Below are 23,121 nucleotides of genomic sequence, written 5' to 3'. Positions count from 1 at the left end.
ATTTCCACACTCCACCTGAAGCCATTCAGCCACTCCCTTTGATATGTATATATTCATTGCACATTCCTTGAGAGGATTGATTTATATATGAATTTAGTCGATAGGTATATGTATGCAATAAAGATATCCTTTTAGTTCTCTAAATTGTGTAATAAAGTTATCAAATCTATCAATTTCTGAATGGCATGAGACCTCAGTGGTTGATGATGTATGAAGAGTTCACGCCATTACCTTGACTATTTTTATTTGTGGAAATCTCAGAGTTATTCACATGCTATCAGGGTGCCAATCTCATTTTGATGAGAGTCACCATGTCACAGGTATCTTTATTTCAAAAATTCCACACAGTATATTGTAATTAGTCACTTAGAATAAATATTGAAATAATTATAAATTTTGAAAAAGCCCTTTGGGCATCAATAAAAAGTCACAGTCAAAACTAAAATTCCAGATGTTGGGAAGAGTGAAAAGAATGACTGCAAAACAAGAATAAGTAATTTAAATTGTTATGATGTAGATGTAAAGAGAGGTGTGGGGATCATGTTTGGATGACATGTGGATTGTTGTGTTTCTTTTCTTGAACATTTATTTTTCACAAGGTGTTTATTATGTACTTTCCTAAGAGCATCTCTCCCCAAAATTATTAGATGAGCACAACTTATGCACCACCCTGTTTGACATTCTGGCCAATAGAACTTTCAAATAGAGAATTTGGAGCAGAACATCACATATACCCTAAAATTTAAAGCAGTAAAATTTAGGAAATTTTAGAAAGAAAGCACTTCAGATGTAAAAAAGCTAAGTAGTAATTTTTAAATATACTTCAAATTCATTTTGGTTTATGGACTTATATAGTATATAAAAATTAAGTTATAAAATATTGTGAATAGGGTTAAATAGGAATACATTTAAAAGGAAAGAATGCAGACTTGAGTTTTGCCTGAATTGAAACATGTATGGCAATGAAATATCTCAAAAAATGTTTGGTAGTGATAATACAATAACTAAACATGAATATATCCACGCGTTGGACATTGGGAGATTGTTGAAAAGTTGTTGTACTAAATTTTTTTCATTTAAAATTCCATGCTTTTGAATATCATATTTGCTACTAAATATCACATTAACCCTCATACAGCATTGCTAGAAATCATCTCAAGTCATCTTAATTTTTAAGCAATGTTTCAATAATTTTATTTTAAAATTTATCACATACTAAAAAGAAGATTCAGCGTAATTAATGATATTAAATATTAATATTACTAAAAGACCACAGCTAGAACATATTTTTTAAAATCATTGCTTTGTTTTACACATATTAATATTATCTCTTTGCCACAGTTGACAATTTATAATCTGAGACAAGGATAAGAACAATTTTGGTTTAATTTCAGTAACTTCAAAAAGATACAGTAAATCTCTTTGATAATGAATATCCAATCTAAATGTATTGTGCTGCATAATAGCTGAACATATGTAACATTTTCAAGTATGATTTGCAGATAAAATTGGTAACAGCAGCTTGATATAGTAAGAGTGCTCTCTTTTAAGTTTTTCTCCATAATGACACTCAAACCCTAACTTCACAGATGTGATATTTTTTGTTTAATTTATGCTATTGAATTTTATTTTCTTCTTAGTGTGTATAGTCAGATGATTATAATGGTATATGCTATTTTAGACTATAGTATGAAAATGGTTGTTTGACTCAGTGTCACTGCACTTCGAACAGGTGGCTCCTGTTTTTAAGAGTAAGATTATAAATTATGATTATTTATAGATTTTGTGCAAACAACATAGCTCTATAATATGAAATGTAAGGTTAACTGCTAGTGTTTAAAATGGTGAAAATTTTATATATTGGTACAAATAATAAAATTGGTTTCTGGTTATATTTATGCATTACGGTTCAAATGATCATATTAAAGGAAGAGCTTGTTTCATCTTAATTTTTAAGTAAACTATAAAATATAAACCACATATTCAGTAATGCTTGTGTCTAGTCACTCAAAGCATTCACTTGTGTTAGACCTATGTTATTTCTTTTCTCTAGTAGAAAGCCATTTAATGGCCAGGAAACAAAATGTTCCAAAGGACCCTGAGTTATACTAATACAGCTGTTTCTGAATACAGCGGTAATACAGCGGTATTCTGAAATACCTTTTGAAACAGTTTTTTACTTCTTTGTTTGTTTTCTCTCAGACCATTCTCCATAACAATGAAACTCTTAAGGCTAGAACATATTACCAGTTCAATGTATGTGAATAATCAGCTTAATAATGATAGTATGTATAATCACTATGTATTTTCTAGATAGCTCTAAATTGTTAACATTATTTTCCTTTAAAATAAGTAATATATTCACTGTAAAAAATTTAAAATACTACAGATCAACAAAATAAGGAAAAAATATAATCTTTCCACAGAGGTGAATTTTTGTGGAAAATACAACTTGTAAAATAATTCACATATGCATAGTATATGACTTCACAGAACTTACAGTATTACAGAGGAGACAGATGAAAAAGAGAAAAATAAAATAATTGGGATTTGTATCAAAATTTTTGAGGACAATAAGTTAGGTACTAGGTTAGAATGAAGAGGGGAGTCTACATTTAAATAGGGCATTCAGGGAAACCTTTTCTGGAAAGGTCATCTTCAAACTATTAAATATTAGTTAAAGAAAAGGGAACCTAACAGAAGGAAGACAGAAAGAACATTACCGGTTGCAAATGTCCTGCTACATGAAATACCCTGACATATTTAGAACATAAATATAAATATTAGTATTATTGGACATGGTTAGCAAATAGGAAGGACTGTAGGAAAAGTAGGAAAGAGATATAATGCAATGCACTCTAGAATATAGTAAAGTTAGGAATTTATTTCTGGTGAAAGACAACACCAGCGAAGGAATGTGGAGGAAACATTTAGTAAGCTCACAAAGTCAGGTCAACTGGATTATGACTGGAACTAAAGTGGAAATAGATTTTACTTATTTCGAAAGAAGAACTGATAGGATATGGTCATGAATTTGAAGCTGGTGAGTGAGAGAGAGAGAAAGATTGAGGCTGCACTAAATTCATTTTTTGAGCAAAAGAATGGATACTAAATCTCTTAGAAAAATGGGGAAGATTGGAGTTTGGAAAACAGCACATTTTCTGAAAAACAAAGATAACTTTATTTTAATTATGTCCAGTTTGAAATATCTGGGACATATCCAAATGGAGATATGAGCTGGTAAGTTATATATCATATATATACGTGGGAGATACGTGTCAGAGGACGCATGACCTGGAAATACAAATTTGTGAACTACAGCATTAAATGTAGTATTCAAATAAAGTGAAATTGGGAGTCACCTTAGAAGAGTGTTGAGAAAAAAAGTGCACTGATAACATGGGGAAATCCTGTCTTTAGAGAAGGGTGATTCTGAAGCATCAAGACTGAGATGAAAGAATCTCCTAGTGATAATGCTGAGAAGAAAAGAAACAAGGGAAGAACGCTGTATAATAAGCCCTAATTTCCTTTTTAAAATATATTTGTATGTATATTATATATATATTAAATGTATATTTGTATTTATATATGTATAAATTTTTGTCATTGAAAATATTTGAAATACCTTTGTTTAGGAAAGCTTAAGCAATTCATACATGAATAGTGACATATTCAGGTTCAGTTCTATGATTCTATATGATTTTCCTCATATTGTCCCTTACCTATATTTTAACATATTTTTTCAAGTATTTCTTATCTTTTTTTATGATTATTATACTTTAAGTTGTAGGGTACTTGTGCACAACGTGCAGGTTTGTTACATATGTATACATGTGCCATGTTGGTGTGCTGCACCCATTAACTTGTCATTTACATTAAGTATATCTCCTAATGCTATCCCTCCCCCTCCCCGTACCCCACAACAGGCCCCAATGTGTGATGTTCCCCACCCTGTGTCCTAGTGTTCTCATTGTTCAATTCCCACTTATGAGTGAGAACATGTGGTGTTTGGTTCTCTGTCCTTGTGATAGTTTGCTCAGAATGATGATTTCCAGCTTCATCCATGTCCCTACAAAGGACATGAACTCATCCTTTTTTATGGCTGCATAGTATTTCAGGGTGTATATGTGCCACATTTTCTTTATGCAGTCTATCATTGGTGGACATTTGGGTTGGTTCCAAGTCTTTGCTATTGTGAATAGTGTCGCAATAAACGTATGTGTGCATGTGTCTTTATAGCAGCATGATTTATAATCCTTTGGGTATATATCCAGTAATGGGATGGCTGGGTCAAATGGTATTTCTAGTTCTAGATCATTGAGGAATCACCACACTGTCTTCCACAATGGTTGAACTAGTTTACAGTGCCACCAACAGTACAAAAGTGTTCCTATTTCTCCACATCCTCTCCAGCACCTATTGTTTCCTGACTTTTTAATGATTGCCATTCTAACTGGTGTGAGATGGTATGTCATTGTGGTTTTGATTTGCATGTCTCTGATGGCCAGTGATGATGAGCAGTTTTTCATGTGTCTGTTGGCTGCATAAATGTCTTCTTTTGAGAAGTGTCTGTTCATATCCTTCACCCACTTTTTGATGGGGTTGTTTTCTTCTTGTAAATTTGTTTAAGTTCTATGTAGATTCTGGATATTAGCCCTTTGTCAGACGGGTAGATTGTAAAAATTTTCTCCCGTTCTGTAGGTTGCCTGTTCACTCTGACAGTAGTTTCATTTGCTGTGTAGAAGCTCTTTAGTTTAATTAGGTCCCATTTGTCAATTTTGGCTTTTGTTGCTATTGCTTTTGGTGTTTTAGTCACGAAGTCCTTGCCCATGCCTAGGTCCTGAATGGTATTGCCTAGGTTTTCTTCTAGGGTTTTTATGGTTTTAGGTCTAACATTTAAGTATTTTATCCATCTTGAATTAAATTTTGTATAAGGTGTAAGGAAGGGATCCAGTTTCAGCTTTCTACATATGGTTAGCCAGTTTTCCTAGCACCATTTATTAAATAGGGAATCCTTTCCCCATTTCCTGTTTTTGTCAGGTTTGTCAAAGATCAGATGGTTGTAGATGTATGGTATTATTTCTGAGGGCTCTGTTCTGTTCCATTGGTCTATATGTCTGTTTTGGTACCAGTATCATGCTATTTTGGTTACTATAGCCTTGTATAGTTTGAAGGCAGGTAGCGTGATGCCTCCAGCTTTGTTCTTTTGGCTTAGGATTGTCTTGGCAATGTGGGCTCTTTTTTCAGTCTATATGAGCTTTAAAGTAGTTTTTTCCAATTCTGTGAAGAAAGTCATTGGTAGCTTGATGGGGATGGCATTGAATCTATAAATTACATTGGGCAGTATGGCCATTTTCACATTATCGATTCTTCCTATCCATGAACATGCAATGTTGTTCCATTTGTTTGTGTCCTCTTTTTTCATTGAGCAGTGGTTTGTAGTTCTCTTTGAAGAGGTCCTTCACATCCCTTGTAAGTTGGATTCCTAGGTATTTTATTCTCTTTGAAGCAATTGTGAATGGGAGTTCACTCATGATTTGGCTCTCTGTTTGTCTGTTATTTGTGTATAGGAATGCTTGTGATTTTTGCACATTGATTTTGTATCCTGAGACTTTGCTGAAGTTGCTTATCAACTTAAGGAGATTTTGGGCTGAGATAAGTATTTCTAAGAAATAATGGATTGTTCAGGATGATTTTGATTTTTTCTGAGTCTAAGTGCATACATATGGCTCATCTATTGGGATGATTTCCCTAATGCTAAGAACAGCCCACTCAAAACCTATTTAGGAGAGAAACAAACACATATTTTTGGAATTAATAAATCCTTCTATGTCTAATTGTCAACATGGATAGATAGTCCCAATCTTAAATTGTTTTTCTTTGTACCGAGAAATATTGTTTTCCAAACATGGAGAGAACTGCATAGAAATTAGCATTACTTCTCTTCTTTCATCTGTAATTTTACTATGTTAGTATTATAATAAAATTACTTTAGAAATTATTGTCCCTTTATTTGCTTTAATCATTATTTTGAAAATTTTTCAAACTTTTATTTTAAAACTTGTACACTGATATTTATATTTTCTCTAGTGTTTAATGAAACAAAAACTGGGGTGCTAATATTTATGAGGAGGGTGACACAGTTACAGAAGCACTAACTGGCTAACTCTAGGGACCCCTGTAAATGTGGACATTTCACTAGATGTGTTTCCATGGGGGATTTTGGCCCAGTTTTGAACTGAGAGCTCCAGGAAGGCGTTGATTAGAAGCAGTCTGGAGTAGAATATACAAGAAACGACTATAAGGACTTTCCTGGAAAAGTGTTGTAAAGTGTCTCTGTCCACTTTGGAGGTTGATTTAGAGTTGAGTGAAGGACCTCTGTGCTTAGAAAAGATAAACATGACTCGAGAAAGGAATGAAAGTAGACCCCTCAAATGAAGATTGGCCATGGGAAGAATGTTGGTAAACTTAGCCAAATTGCTTAAGAAGCAGGCTTTAGAATGAAATGAGGAAGGAGAATGATCCCTATGCTTCCAATGGTAAGTTAGATAATTATGTAAAATATTACGGTTTTATAAAAGGTCAGTTTTGGCTGGGGGTTGTGGCTCACGCCTGTAATCCCAGCACTTTGGGAGGCCGAGTTGGGCAGATCACGAGGTCAGGAGTTCGGGACCATCTTGGCCAACATGGTGAAACCCTGCCTCTACTGAAATACAAAAAATTAGCTGGGCATGGTGGCACGTGCATGTAATCCTAGCTACTTGGGAGGCTGAGGCAGGGGAATCGCTTGAATCCGGGAGACGGAGGTTGCAGTGAGCTGAGATTGCACCACTACACTCCAGCCTGGCAACAGAAAAAGGCTCCGTCTCAAAAAAAAAAAAAAAAGTCAGTAGTTTCATATGCAATTTGCAGTATCAGTTGTGTTAATTAAGATTTTTCTTATACTTTCTTGTTTACAGTGCATGAAAATTGGAAACACAAACTGCTTTTTATGTTTAAAGTGACCATACGATTTGTTGTCAAAACTGAAATACTTTTGAAAATAAAATTTTGCAATGTTAATAATTATGTCAGGCCAACTGGCATAAACTAGGACCATTTTGGGCAAACAAGGATATATGGTCATGTAAACGTACAATAGTTTGTCAGATAATCTGAGTGGAGAGTAGGCTTCTAGGTATTCCTCAAAACAATGACCTCAATCTTCCTTGTACATTGTCTGTGGGGTGTATGTGGATGTGTGGGTATGTGTGTTTTCGTGTTTAAAGAGCTGTTATTTTTGTTTTTTGAAATGGGGAAAATTTAATTTAAACCTTGAGAATTTCTCAAAAAATTGTTCTACAAACGTAATCAATAATTTTCTGGAATAATTCAGTTGTGAAGGACTAAAAATGTAAACGTCTATAAATGGGCATTTGTCTGCAAATGAATAATATTAAAATTTGCCAATTATCAAATCGAAAACACTGCCATGACATAACATTAATTTTTACAAAATAGGGAATTCATATGATAAACATACATCCACTTTATTTCTATGATTTAATTAAACCGCTGGATTTTACATCAGAGATATTGGGAGCTCAAGTAATTTATTCAAAGCCATGTATATATTTTAATCTTCAGACAGCATAAAGATGTACTCTAAAAGTAAATTTAAAATACAAATTGTTATTAATATATGCACTGTTAATAGGCATCAGTTAGTTTATTGGCCATCTCTATTATGTTAAAGACAATTATCTAGTCCACACCTGCCTGCAGGGGAATTCAGGGCACAAGATAATTATAAGCTCTTATATCTTTGTATCTCAGCTCCTGTTTTACTTTGCTAAAATTATACTTTCTATCAAAATCACCTCTTTGCTCAAAAATAGGAAGAGAATAAGATCCTCAAGGTGTTTAGAGAACTACCATTTTCTCTCCGGCCCATGTGACTGAGAATTTTCCCACTACATCATACTGTTTTCATTCCAAACTTCATTCCTGAGGTCTTTGTTACAGGCCTTCTCTGGCACTCGTAATGCTGTGTCCTGCACACTGGTATTTAGTCTGTAAAATGGACATTTTCCTCTCTGCCAACAACCATGATCATTTTCACAAAAAGCAGCAATCCTTTTCCAACTTTCTTTTGTCAAAGCAAAATTGCACTGGACAATGTTCAATAAGCAAGGAAGACTTTATTCAAGGGAATGGTAATAGGAAAGGAGACATGGACTCAGTCTGAACTTAATTCTGCTAAAGAAAAGAGTAGAACAGTTTTTAAGTGTTGAAGCGAGCTAGAGAAAAAGTACAGAAGGGTTAGTGGGGAGAATTTTCAATGAGATGTGTTGAAGATATTTGAGTTATTCCTGAGTTTTCAAATGATTTTGTCTGTGAATAGGCCATCTGTGTTTGCTAATTGGCACCCATTAATGTTAGGCTGCTACCCTTCTACAGATACATCATCTTTGATGTATTACATTTCAAAGAGATGGTTCCCAAGCTCTTGGAAAGATATTAGTGGGCTGTGAAACTGGCAAGAGGCTTTTAAAATAATTTACATACATCTTAAAAATTTAGTCAAGTTGAAGGAAACATTATGACCACCATCTTGGTCATGTTAATGTTATCACACAGTGAATTTAACTTCCCCTGGGAAGTTTAAATCAACTAATGGGTTCTCTCTGTCTTTAGCTTTTCTCCCAATTAGCAATTTAGTCTTAATTTTTCTTCTCTGATCCACAGGCTATTGTACTCTAATTATAGTCTTACTTTTTTGACCTCTGTAAGGCTTTTCTAGTCAGCTCAACTCTTGCCACAGAACAATCTTCTCTATTTTCATTCTCATTTACTACCCATTATGTCTCTAATCTCACCTGGTAGGTTGATCCAACATTGCACAATTTGTCAAAAATATTGTAATGTTGTATCCCACCTTATTAACAAGCAAATATTGAGTAAAAGTACTGTCGAATGCAAGTGTTTAATTTATAAAAGTACATTTCAAGTACAGATCAGTATGGTATGACTCAATCAACTATGTGTTTAGAAAATATTTTAGGAATTAAAAAACATTGTTTGGCTGACTTCCTTTAAATTAGTCATAAGCATATTTTAATTGTGAAAAAATGATGTCATGAAAATTTAAGAGTAAAAATATGTCAGTGATTATCTTATTAATTAATTTAGAGGAAAAAATGTTTATCTGGAAAAAGATGTAAAACAAACACAAGAATCTGATATTCTATTGTTGTTGCTGAAAGCTGAAGAAAGAATATTCTAGCCTATAGAGTTGGATGATTCACCCAGCTTTTAAAAAAACTCTTCATTACTTATTTCAATTCTAATGAAAGTATATAGGTAAGTAATCTTATTTTTAGTAAATTATCAGTCTATTAAGTGGATTGAGTTTAATTAATAAGTTCATCTTTAAGAACTAATAGTTGTTACCACCAGAGGTGATATCATATGCCAAATTTATAAGATAGTGAGAATTTAGGACATACTTTAATTTGATTTGAGACTTTATTCTTAAATATAGGAAGCAAAAAAGTGATATTATTAAGTTTGTATTTATAAAAGTGAGCTCTTCTTTAGTACAGGAGGCTCGCTGGAATTGGCCTAGACAGAAAACAGAAAACCCAGTTAAGAAGCTGTGTTATTAAGGCAGATTCAATTTGGTGTTTCAAATTGAAGTATTCCTTTCTGAAGTATTTTTTGAAAGTCTACTATGTGAATTAATGTGAAATGAAGGAGAAACGGTGGATATAGAGCAAATTTAGGAAATTTTAGTCATTTTGGAGATAGAAAAGCTTGAATTAGAAAATTGTATTTATCTTTTCAATCTTTTGTAGAGTATAGAGCATAAGAAGAAAGTATGCTACTGATGTTAAGAAATCAGCAATTAATGACATTGAAAAATTATCATTTATTTTTTGTTCTCCGAAATTATAACTCTCATTAAATCAAGCTTAGCCTAAAGCTGCCTCCTTACACATATATATAAGTAAATACATATATAAATACATATAAAAATATATAAATACATACATATATTAATATATTTATTTATTTCAATAGGTTTTTGGGGAACAGTGGTATTTGGTTACATGAATAAGTTCTTTAGTGGTGATTTCTGAGATATTGGTGCACTTATCACCTGAGGAGTGTACACTGTGCCCAATGTATGGCCTTTTATCTCTTATCCCCCTCCTACCCTTTTCCCTGAGTCCCCAAAGTCCATTGTATTATTCTTATGTCTTTGTGTCCTCATAGCTTAGCTCCCAGTTATGAGTGACGACATACAATGTTTGGTTTTTCACTCCTGAATTACTTCACCCCAATTCCAATTTCATTCAGGTTGCTGCAAATGCCATTATTTCATTCATTTTCATGGCTGAGTAGTATTCCATGGCATATATACACCACATTTTGTTTTTCCACTCATTGATTGATGGGCATTTGGTCTGGTTCCATATGTTTGCAATTGCGAATTGTGCTGCTATAATCATGTGGGAATCTCTTTCGTATAATAACTTCTTTTCCTCTGGGTAGATACCCCGTAGTGGGATTGCTCAATCAAATGGTGGATCTACTTTTAGTTCTTTAAGGAATCTCCACATTGTTTTCCATAGTGGTTGTACTAGTTTACATTCCCACTAGCAGTGTAAAAGTGTTCCCTTTTTGCCACATCCATGCCAACATCTATTATTTTTTGATTTTTTAATTATGGCCATTCTCGCAGGAGTAAGGTGGTATCTCATTGTGGTTTTGTTTTTCATTTCTCTGATAATTAGTGATATTGAGTACTTTTTCATATGTTTCTTGGACATTTGTATATCTTTTTTTTTTTTTGAGAATTGTCTATTCATGTCGTTAGCTCACTTTTTGATGAGATTGTTCATTTTTTTCTTGCTGATTTGTTTCAGTTCTTTGTAGATTCTGGATATTAGTTTTTTGTCAGATGTATAGATTGCTAAGATTTTCTCCCACTCTGTGGCATGTCTGTTTATTGATTGTTTCTTTTGCTGTTCAGAAGCTTTTTAGTTTAAGTCCCATCTATTTATCATTGTTTTTGTTGCATTTGTTTTGGGTCATGAAGTATTTGCCTAAGCCAATGTCTAGAGGGTTTTTCCAATGGTATCTTCTAGAATTTTTATGGCTTCAGGTCTTAGATTTAAGTCTTTTATCCATCTTGAGTTGATTTTTGAATAACTTGAGAGATGAGGATCCAGTTCCATTCTTCTACATGGGGCATGCCAGTTATTCCAGCACAGTTTGTTGAATTGTCCTTTCCCCATTTTACGTTTTGGTTTGCTTTGTTGAAGATCAGTTGACCATGAATAGTTGGCTTTATTTCTGGGTTCTCTGTTCTGTTCCATTAGACTCTGTGCCTATTTTTATACCAGTGCCATGTTGTTTTGGTGACTATAGACTCATAGTATAGTTTGAAGTCAGGTAATGTGATGCCTCCAGATTTGTTCTTTTTGCTTAGCCCTGCTTTGGCTATGTGGGTTATTTGTTGGTTCCATATGTATTTTAGGATTTTTTTTTCCTAGTTCTATGAAGAATGATAGTGGTATTTTGATGGAAATTGCATTGAATCTGTAGATTGCTTTTGGCAGTGTGGTAATTTTGACAATATTGATTCTACCCATCTATGAGGATGGGATGTTTCCACTAGTTTGTGTCATCTGTTATTTCTTTCAGCAGTATTTTGTAGTTTTCCTTGTAGAGGTGTTTCACCTCCTTGCACCTCCTTGGTTAAGTATGTTCCTAAGATTTTTTTTTTCCAGTTATCGTGAAAGGGATTGAGTTCTTGATTTGATTCTCAGCTTGGTTGCTGTTGGTGTATAGCAGGGACACTGATTTTTGTACATAAATTTTGTATCTTGAAACTTTGCTGAATTCATTTACTAGTTCTAGGAACTTTTTGGATGAGTTTTTAAGATTTTCTATGTATACAATCAAGTCATCAGCAAATAGTAACAGTTTCACTTCCTCTTTACTAATTTGAATGTCCTTTATTTCTTTCTCTTGTTTGATTGTTCTGGCTAGAACTTCCAGTAAATTTTGAATAGAAGGGGTAAAAGTGGGCATCCTTGTCTTGTTCCGGGTCTCAGGGGAATACTTTCAACTTTTCCCCACTCTGTGTAATGTTGGCTGTGGGTTTATAAATGACTCTTAGTATCTTAAGGTATGCCTCTTCTATGCTGATTTTGCTGAGGTTTTTAATCATAAAGGGATGCTGGATTTTGTCAAATGCTTTTTTCTCCATCTATTGAGATGATCATGTGATTTTTGTCTTTAATTCTGTTTATGTGGTGTATAACATTTATTGATTTGCATATGTTTAACCATCCCTGCATCCCTGGTTTGAAACCCACTTGATCATGGTGGATTATGTTTCTGATACGCTGTTGGATTCGGTTAGCTAGTATTTTGTTGAAAATTTCTGCATTAATATTCATCAAGGATATTGGCCCGTAGTTTTCTTTTTTTGTTTTGTCTTTTCCTGGTTTTGGTGTTAGGGCAATACCAGCTTTATAGAATGATTTAGGGAGGATTCCCTCTTTCACTATCTTGTAGAATAGTGTCAATACGACTGCAACCAGTTCTTTGAATGTCTGATAAAATTCAGCTGTGAATCCATCTGGTCCTGGACGTTTATTGGTTGGCAAAATTTTTATTACCATTTGAAACTTCCTGCTTGTTATTGATCTATTCAGAGTTTCTATTTCTTCCTGGTTTAATCTAGGAAGGTTGTATAATTCCAGGAATTTATCCATCTCCTCTAGGTTTTCTAGTTTATGTGCATAGAAGTGTTCATAGTATCCTTGAATGATCTTTGGTATTTATGTGGTATCAGTTTTAGTATCCCCCGATTCATTTCTAATTGAGTTTATTTGCATCTTTTTTTCTCTTTTCCTGGTTAATATCACTAATGGTCTATCAATTTTCTTTGTCTTTTCAAAGAACCAGCTTTTTGTTTCATTCATGTTTTGTATTTTTTTTGTTTGTTTGTTTCAATTTTATTTAGTTCTGCCCTGATCTTTTTTTATTTATTTTTTTCTACTTGGTTTGGGTGTGGTTTGTTTTTGTTTCTCTGGTTCCATGAGGTGTGACCTTAGATAGTTTATTTGTGCTCTTTCAGACTTTCTGATGTAGGCATTTAAGGTTATGACCTTTCCTCTTAACACTGCCTTTCCGTATCCTAGAGGTTTTGATAGGTAATATCACTATTATCATTCAGTTCAAAGAAATTTTCAACTTCCATCTTGATTTCATTGTAGACTCAACAATCATTCAGGCACAGGTGAATTTATATGTATTTGGATGGTTTTGAGGGTTCGTTCTGAAGTTGATTTTCAACTTTATTCCACTGTGGCCTGAGAGAGTACTTGATGTAATTTTAATTTTTTTTTTTTTTTGAGATGGAGTCTCACTCTGTCACCCAGGCTGGAGTACAGTGGCGTGAACTTGACTGACTGCAACATCCACCTCCCAGATTTAAGCGATTCTCCTGGCTGAGCCTCCTGAGTAGCTGGGTCTACAGGCATGTACCACCACACCTGGCTAATTTGGTATTTTTAGTAAAGATGGAGTTTCCCTATGTTTGTCATGCTGGTTTTGATCCTGACCTTGTGATCCACCCATCTTGGCCTCCTGAAGTGCTGGGATTACAGGCATGAGCCACTGTAATTTCAATTTTCTTAAATTTGTTAAAATCTGTTTTGTGGCCGATTATGTGGCCTATCTTGGACCATATGATGATGAATAGAATGAATATTCTTCAGCTATTGGGTAGAAAGTTCTGTAAATATTTTTAAGTTCATTTGTTCTAGGGCAGAGTTTAAGTCTATTGTATCTTTGTTGACTTTCTGTCTTGATGACCTGTCTATTGCTGTCAGTAGAGTATTGAAGTCTCCCACTACTATTGTGTTGCTGTCTATCTCATTTCTTAGGTCCTGTCATAGTTGTTTTATATATTTAGAAGCTCTAGTTTTAGATGCATATATATTTAAGACTGTAATATTTTCCTAATAGAAAAGTCTTTTTATCATTATATAATGTCCCTCTTTGCATATTTTTAACTGCTGTTGCTTTAACCTTTGTTTTGTCTGATATAAGGATAACCACTCCTGCTTGCTTTGGTGTCAATTTGCTTGGAATATCTTTTGCACCACTTTACTTTAAGTTTATATGAGTCCTTATTGTCATGCATGTCCATGTGAAGAGACCACCAAACAGGCTTTTTGTGAGCAACAAGTCTGCTTATTTCACCTGGGTGCAGGCAGGCTGAGTCCGAAAAGAGAGTCAGTGAAGGGAGACAGGTGTGGGGCTGTTTTATAGGATTTGGGTGGGTAGTGGAAAATTATAGTCAAAGTGGGTTTTTCTCTAGCTTCCAGGGATGGGGGTCACAAGGTGCTCAGTGGGGAAGCTTTTGAGCCAGGATGAGCCAGGAGAAGGAATTTCACAAGGTAATGTCACCAGTTAAGGCAGGAACAGGCCATTTTCACTTCTTGTGTGATTCTTCAATTACTTCAGGCCATTTGAATGAATACCTGCAGGCTTGGGCTCAGAGGCCTGACACTTATGTGTTAAGTGAGTCTCTTGAAGATAGCAGATACTTGGTTGATGAATTCTTACTCATTCTGCCATTCTGTATCTTTTAAGTCGAGCATTTAGGCCATTTTCATTCGAAGTTAATATTGAGATGTGAGATACTATTCATTCTATTATGCTATTTGTGGTCTGAATACCTTGCTTTTTTGTTCATTGTGTTATAGTTTTATACATCCTGTGAGATATATGTTTTAAGGAGGTTGTATTTTTATGTATTTTGAGGATTTGTTTCATGGTTTAGAACTGCTTTTAGCAGATATTGTAGTGCTGGCAAATTCTCTCATCATTTGTCTGAAAAATACTGTATCAGTCCTTCATTTATGAAGCTTAGTATTGATGGATACAAAATTCTTGGCTGACAATTGTTTTGTTTAAGGAGGCAAAAGATAGGACTCCAATCCCTTCTAGCTGTAGGGTTTCTGGTGAGAGATCTGCTGCTAATCTGATAGCATTTTTCTTTTTAATAGTTTACCTGGAGTTTTCCATCAAAGCTCTTAAGATTCTTTCCTTTGTCTTGACTTTAGATAACCTGATTATTATGTGCCTAGGCAATGATCTTTATGTGATATCAATTTCCCAGGTATCCTTCAAGCTTTTTGTATTTGAATGTCTAGATCTCTAGCAAGGCCAGGGAAGTTTTTATTGATTATTTCCTCATGTATGTTTTCCAAAATTGTAGATTTATCTTCTTCCTCATGAACACCAATTATTCTTAGGTTAAAAAGTTTAACATAATCCCAAACTTCTTGGAGGCTTTATTCACTTTTTTAAATTCTCTTTTCTTTGACTTTTTTTTGGATTGGGTTAATTTGAAAGTCATATCTTGGAGCTCTGAAGTTCTTTCTTCTACTTTTTAAAAATTCTATTGCTGACACTCTCTACTGTATTTTGCATTTCTTTAAGTGTGCCCTTCATTTCCAGAAGTTGTGATTATTTTTTATTTATGCTATTTCTCTGGAGATTTTTTTGTCCATATCCTGTAACTTTTCAAAATTTATTTGAGTTTGTGTTTATCTTTCTCTGGTGCCTCCTTGAGTACCTTAATAATAGACATGATTTTTTTTTCCCCTGGCAATTTGGAGATTTCTTCTTGGTTTGGGTTCACTGCTGGTGAGTTAGTGTGATCTTTTGGGGGTGTTAAAAAACTTTTTTTGTCTTATTACCAGAATTGTTTCTGGTTTCCTCTCGTTTGCATAGACAATGTCAGTGGGAAGATCTGGGGCTCAAGGGCTGCTGTTCAGATTCTTTCATCCCATGGGGTGCTCCCTGGATATGGGTGTCCAGGTTGTTTCTTTCTGAGAGCCCAACTGCAGTGATTGTTATTTCTCTTCTGGATCTAGCCATCCAGTGGAGCTACCATGCTCCAGGCCGGTACTGGAGAGTGTCTACAAAGAGTCCTGTAATGTGATTTGTCTTCAGATGTCTCAGCCCTGGATACCAGCACCTGCTGCAGCGATGGTAGCATGGGAGTGAAGTGGATTCCGTGAAGGGCCTTGGTTATATTTTTGTTTATTGCACTAGTTTTGTGTTTGTTGGCCTTCAGCCAGAAAGTGGTGCTTTCAGTTGCAGTGATATAGAGAGGATCCAAGCTTGCCCTAGGGTCTCCTGGATAAGTTTTTCCGGTGGTGGGCAGGGCCATAGAGGTCCCAAGAGATTATGTCCTTTGTTTTTGGCTGCGATAAGGGTAGAGAAAGACCATCAGGTGGGGGCAGGGTTAGGTGTGTTTGAGCCTAGACTGTCCTTGGGCAGGGCTTGCTGTGACTGCTGTAGGGGAGGGGAGTGTGGTTCTCAGGCTGATAGAGTTGTGCTCCCAGAGGGATTATCACTGCCTTTGCTGTGTTATGCAGGTTGCCAGGGAAGTGGGAGACAGCTGGCAGTTACAGGCTTCACTCAGCTCCCACACAGCCTGAAAGGCTGGTTTCAATCCTATTGTGCCCCTCTAACAGCACCAAGTTTATTTCAAGGCAGCCAGAGACTTGCCTCAGGTTCCAGGCCTCCCCACTGGGAAAACAAGCAAGGCTTTCAGGTTTTGCACCTCCCCGCCTATCACAACTTCTTTGCTATGCCTGCATGTCCAGTTCACCCTCTCCCCCAGTTTCTGTCCAGGAAATTTTTCTTTCAGTAGAAATTGTTACAAAGTTTAGCTGGAGGTTTCCTTCTCCCTGTGGTCTTTCCCCATTTCCACTGGCAGCCCTCCCCAAGGATCCCTATGAGACAAAGTCAGAAATGGCTTCCCTGGGGACCACAAGTGCCCGCAGGGTTCTTCCCATTGCTTCCTCTACCCCTGTATTTCACTCAGCTCTCTAAGCTCATCTAGGCTCTAGTTAAGATTAAATCCTTCTCCAGTTATCTGGACCTTCAGGTCCACCTGTGAGAATGTGTGTTGGGGACAGACAATCTCCCTTTCTCACTTTCACACTTGGGGCACTCACAGTTTTTTGGCTGTCTCCTGGAGCCTGCAGCAGCAATCCACTTCCTTCAAAGGGCCTGTGGATTGTCTTAGCTTTCCTGGTATGTTACTTTGGTAGTTCTTGGAGCGAAAATTCATGGTGTGTCTCTACATGCTGCTCTGTCCATCCAAGTGGGAGCTGCAAGTTAGTCTTGCCTCCTATCTACCATTTTCTCAGTCAGTCTCCCTCCTTACATATTTTAAATTCAATCTAAAGGTTTCTTTGTAAATCATAAACTATAACCTAAATGAAATTGTAAACAGACTATAGCTTACTCTTCTGCCAATCACCAAGTTTTAGCCAAAGGTGGCCAACTGTTCAAATAAGGCAAATTTGGTAAACACTGAGCTGTAACCAATCTGGCTGTTTCTGTACCTCACTTCCATTTTCTGCATTTCACTTTCCTTTTTCTGTCCATAAATCTTCTTCCACTGCACGAAAGTCTCTAAGACTACTCTGGCTCAAGAGGCTGCCTTATTTGTGAATTGTTCTTTGCTCAGTTAAACTCTTTTAAATTTATTTTGGCTGATGTTTTTCGTTTAACATGTTCTTGTAATACTTTCTTTGGTGGTATTCAGCATCTATGGATATTTATAGATAGTAGAATCCATAATCAAAAATTGAAACAGTAACACCAGAAAATCACTTTTCCACTCCTCTCTGGTAAAACATTGACTGATAAGACGTTAAAGCCTAGTCAGCTGAAGACTACCAGGACAAACTGGTATTCCTGCAAAATCAGCTTTATTGACTCACAGAGAGGAAGAGTAATTAGAGGAATGAGAAATGCCCTTCAAAAAAGAGAAAGTAAGGAGCTTTCACAAGGTTTGGATTATTATTGAAGGATTCCAAGGAGGGCATGAAAGAAGCAAGGATGAGTTCTGTATTTGTTGCTTTTTCTCAGAGAGGACAGAGAGCAGCAAGGATTGACCAGGGGCTGGTGACTTAGCAATTAAGTATCCCCAGGAATCAATGGGAATAGCAAAATAGATCTTGGGATATTATGGTAAGAAAGCAGTAATCCATAAAAAGGGTGTCCTTATGGTATTTTATAGCTGCTGCACAACCTTTGCAAAAACGAAGTTTGCTGTTCAATTTGAAGCTGCTTTTATCTATCTATATCTATGTCTTCTATTCTGATAAATGGCAAAGCTTTTCTTTTTCTGCAGTCTAAGCTTATTTCTACATTTTTAGTCCTGAAGAGTGTTTATTATTTCTCTGTTCTTGCCAATTAGATGAATTTACCCTTGACTTTGGATTCAGGAACCAGAAATTTATAGAGCAAGGAGGAGGTCTATGGAGAATCCATTCTTGAGGTAAGCCAGAGTGGCAGTGCAGCAACATGCAAATGGAGGTGATGCTGGCAGATTCATAATCTCTCTAGTCCCTTGTCAGAACTATTGGCAACAGTTCTTGGAAGACAGATATTATACCATGGTTTGGGTTATTAGAGCAGCTTCAGCCTACCTCAAATTCTTCTCCCTACCCTTGTTTCCATATGAACATTTGCCCAATGTTCTGCGAGTTTCCTAATGACCCCTTGACAACCAATTTCTGTTTCTTCTCATACAATGTTGTTCACATTATAAAGAACACAAAATAAGCAGCCAAATTCTGGTTAAACCAGCTTTATGTGGTCTAAATCCTAGAGTTATTTAGAACCCTGATTGCTTAAGACTACAAAATTAATTTGAATTGTCACATATTACAAAAATATATGACCATGTGAAAACAATTCTAGGAACCATTCTAGGGCCTTAGGAAGTATTCTTGCAAAAGATCAGGCCTGAATCTTAAGCTTTACTAAATTCAAAGTAAATGCATAGCTAGCCAATTTGAAAGTCATGTTTGGAGACTTAGACAACAGATCACAAGTCAAGCATTTTTTGCAAATATATTAGCCTTTATTTTAGACATGACATAACATCTATTTTAATTGCATAATCTCTAACTTCAAACACTTGACAGATTGTTGATAGTATTTAAACAGTTTCTGTAACATTAATATTATAAACAATTTACAATAGCTGTCAAAACATAAAGTAATTGTAAGAAACTCACGTACTATATTACCTTAACTCCATTTTCTACAAGAAACAGTCAAAATAATGTTGAAGACAGTAAACTCTTTTAAGTGCAATACAAAAAGTTGTCACCTTAATAATGGCAGTGGCGACCCATCTGGAGCAGTGGCTGTGAAGACGCTGGCTGCAGTAGGGAAGGCATGGTCAGGATTGTGTGCTCTGCAGGGCCAGCAGGAGACAGGAAAAGGCAGGAGCCCTGCCTCTTACCAAGTTGGTGGGGTAGGAGCCCTGTAGTCTTAGATGCGGCTCTGGACCTGAGCATCCCTGTGCTCTGGGGTGCCCAGGAAGGCCCCTCCTGCCCCTGCAGGCTTGGAAGTGACTGCTTCTGCTGCCTGGCCTCTCCCTGCTCCCAGTGCTCACTCCAATTTTGGAGCAAAGTTGTGGCCAAGCCTGAGCACAGTAACGCCTCCCTGCCACCTTGGAGCCCTCCAGACTTTGGGCACTGATGAGCATGGGAGAGAGGCCAAGTGACTGAGGGCAGCTAAGCATGGACCTACAGGCTCCTGTGGGTACAAACAGCCTGGGTGTTGTGGAGGCATGTTGCTGGTGGGAGGCAGACATTTCTGGGTGGAAAGGGGCAGGTCCCTGCCCACCTTCAGGTCAAGGAATGCTTGAAGCCTGGGGGCCAGGTTGCCTGCTCTAGACAAAGTCTGTGGCCCAGAGTGAGAACTTCATTGATGACAATTCCACTAATCAGATGGTGCTTTTTGGAGGCCCATCCATGGCTGTCCGTGGATCAATCAGCATGCACTTTCTCCTTTCTCAGCCCATAAAAACCCCAGACTCAGACAGACATGGGGACTACCAGCTGTGGTAAGGAGCTGCCCACTTTGGATCTCGTGAACTCGTTGCGATGACCTGCCTTTGGAAAGGAGCTATCCACTATGGGTCTCCTACCCTCTGACAGTTGGATACTTGTAGGGATGACCTGCCTTTGGAAAGGAGCTACTCACTTCAGGTCTCCTGAGAGCTGTTCTGTTGCTCAGTGAAGCTCCTATCTGCTTTGCTCACCCTCCAGTTTTCTCTGTACCTCATTCTTCCTGGACACTGGACAAGAACTCTCAACCCACCAAATAGCAGAACTGAAAGAGATATAACACAAACAGGGCTGAAACACATCCCTGCCTTCCCACATTGTGGATGATGAGGAGAGAAGGGTCACAGCCCTTCAGGGATCCCAGACCTAGGGGCTCCATGAAGTAGGGCTGTAACACCCTCCTTGGGGCTCTGAAGTTTTTAGCATCTCTGAGTGTTCAGGAGCCATGGTGATCCCCTTGTCCAGACACTGGTGCCCACAGCAGAAGCTGCCTGTGGTATGTCTGGTCTGGCTGCAGCCTCGCACAGAGCTGGTACTGGTGCCAGTTCCTGGAGCTGACTGCCGTGCCACAGCAGCTTGCATGCCTGGCTATGTGCAGTGACTGGACCTCGTACTTGCTTGCTCACACACCTCTCACAACTCCATGCCTGGTTTGCCCTTGGTAGACATGGGATCTGGGTCAGTAGTGTGAGCCGAGTGCAGACTGATGGGCTGAGTGGGAGGAATGAGCCCAGTGGGCATGAGCAATACTGAGGCAGGAGGCACCACCAGCCCCAGAGGTTTCTGGCTGGTGAAGCAACACCCTAAGTATCACGTGACACTAATATATTATTATTTGTAATAATGTTAAAATTTTATTTACTATAATTAATGTAGCATTAATGAGGCTTCAAGGTTAAGCAAACTGGAATTGTTAGTTCATACAATAATTTAAATAACTTCAGATTTCATTAAGTTCAATGTTTGGATTTATTTTAGTAAACATGATGATATATCATGCATGTCCTAAACTAAGCTTCAGACTAAGAAGGCTAAAGACACAATGGAGAAGATATAAATTCCTCCTGCTAGTGTCCTCACATTCAACTCCTACTCAGTTGTCTATACTCTTTGCTACCATATTCACCATATGTTTACCACAGTATAGCTTTCCCACCTGAGTTTACTATTTATGTAATCATGACTTCAGGGCATCACATTCTAATAGGGAAAGTATTCCTGAGATTTTGTACTTCAGCTCTCCTTTAGAAAAATGGAAAGAATCTATTTTCTTGCACAGGTTTTTGATTCTCTCATCTGTCTGTGGGTTCGTTGGTAAATAATATTGCTAATCAGTCATGTATAGTGTCTTTTTTTTCCATCCAAGAAATTACTTACAGAGACATAAAGAAATAAAGTATGTGAAAAGTTAATGCACAAATATAAGGACACTTGAGAATATTCACCAGAATTGCACATTCCTACTTTATGGGCAAGTGTGTTACCACTTAGAGCCATGTCTATTAACAAGGAGGATGGATTCTTGTTGATCCCATGTGAAAATATGGTAATTATCATGGGAATAACAAAATTTGATCAGAGTATCTGAATTGTGGAGTTGTTAAGCAGGGAGAAAAATACATCATTTTGAAATATTTTGCTTTTATTTCCAAAAGTTTAAGCTACCAGATTACTATGAGTTTTAATAATTTAGGAGAAAAGACAAAGTTTTATACTCTGAAAATACAACATTAGAACATTGACAATATCCAAGCAAAAATGATCTTCCTTCATTTGTTTATGTCCTATGTAATTAATTTTTGCCCTGCTCCATTCTGGGTTAGCAGTCTCATAAACTCATCTGTTTCTTGGCTAAAGTTTGGAAATTCTGACTCAGTCCACTCATATGGTATCTAAGTTGTTTAAATACTGCCATTCAATATCTCTATCCAGAGGTTACCTGACACAGCTTTTTCCATGGGAATCTGAGACAGTCCTTTGTTGAAGAGGAAGTACTTTGTAAGTGCTTTCAGGAATACATCAAAGTAAAATCAAAAGCTCTTTGTACATGACAAAAGACATAAAGTAGCTGTGATTAACTTACTATAGAAAAATTTCAAAAGTGAAAGATTGATGAGAATTCATAACAAGTGTAGTATAACTGACCAAAAATTTTGTTCTTTTGGTCACATACAAAACAAAATAAAAGTCAATCAAAAATTCTGTTAATATAATAACACTATTTTCAAAGATTAGTGGATATTATATCTATTATCTAAAACTAGAGGCACACAATCTTTACCAAAAGAATATTCAGATAAAATCCATAATCCTGAGACCTAATTAACCATGGATATAATACCAAGAACAAATTCAGAATATACCAAGGATATAACGTTATACCTACAGTTAACAATATTATATAGTACACTTAAAAATCTCTTAAGAAGATTGATCTTATGTCGTGTTCTTACTACAATAAAATAAAAATAGCAGTTAAAAAGGAATACTAAGTAAAGATACTTAGTTTGGAGTAGGTACAAAATATCTGTATTAATAAACTCCATCAACAAGTGATGTGAATCCACAAATAAAAATCACTTACTTAGGTGTTAGATTCAAATGTAAAAAATAAAGTGGGTCTTAGTGTTACAAAAGATCATGAGATCTATGGAGATAAAAAGAAGAGCTATATTTTCTATAAAAAAATCTGACAATTCAGGAGATGCAGCCTCAGTGTAAAAGGAAATTTCCCTTGATTGGGGATTGGAGATTTAAAGACTATAAAGGCAAAATCCACAGGACAGGCAACAGAGTTAGGGATTGAGGAACAGAGCCTTCTTCAGGTGACCTTTAAGCTCAAAATCACCAGTCTCTTTGATTGGCTGGTTCTAGGTGGTCTGTTGGTGGTCAGTTGGGGAATTTTCACCTGCAGTTTATCTCAGCACTGACAACAAAAACTAGTTTGGCTTGATTGTAGAAAAAGAGGTCCCATTACACTTTTACAGTTTCTTTCCAAGAACAAAGTGTAGTGACTACTCCCTCACCAGCCATGGCTACTTGATTCTGTTTCAATTTTAAACACCTCAGTGAGCCAGGAGGAGTCCATTTTGTTTGTCAGCCGGGGGCACACTTTAACAAAGTTAACATACAAAATCTCTGAAATTATGACTAATAATATGTA

General features: G+C 36.4%; 1 annotated feature.

Moving 5' to 3' along the window:
* Nucleotides 21,634-22,310: an enhancer, noted in NCBI's record as "OCT4-NANOG hESC enhancer chr13:69992288-69992964 (GRCh37/hg19 assembly coordinates)". NCBI's record gives its function as "activates a minimal SCP1, AML or CMV promoter by ChIP-STARR-seq in primed H9 embryonic stem cells {active_cell/tissue: H9 hESC(primed)}" and the evidence as "EXISTENCE:reporter gene assay evidence [ECO:0000049][PMID:30033119]".

Source organism: Homo sapiens, chromosome 13 (assembly GCF_000001405.40).
Source record: "Homo sapiens chromosome 13, GRCh38.p14 Primary Assembly".
Taxonomy (NCBI): domain Eukaryota; kingdom Metazoa; phylum Chordata; class Mammalia; order Primates; family Hominidae; genus Homo; species Homo sapiens.
This window is presented reverse-complemented; position numbering and strand designations above follow the sequence as displayed.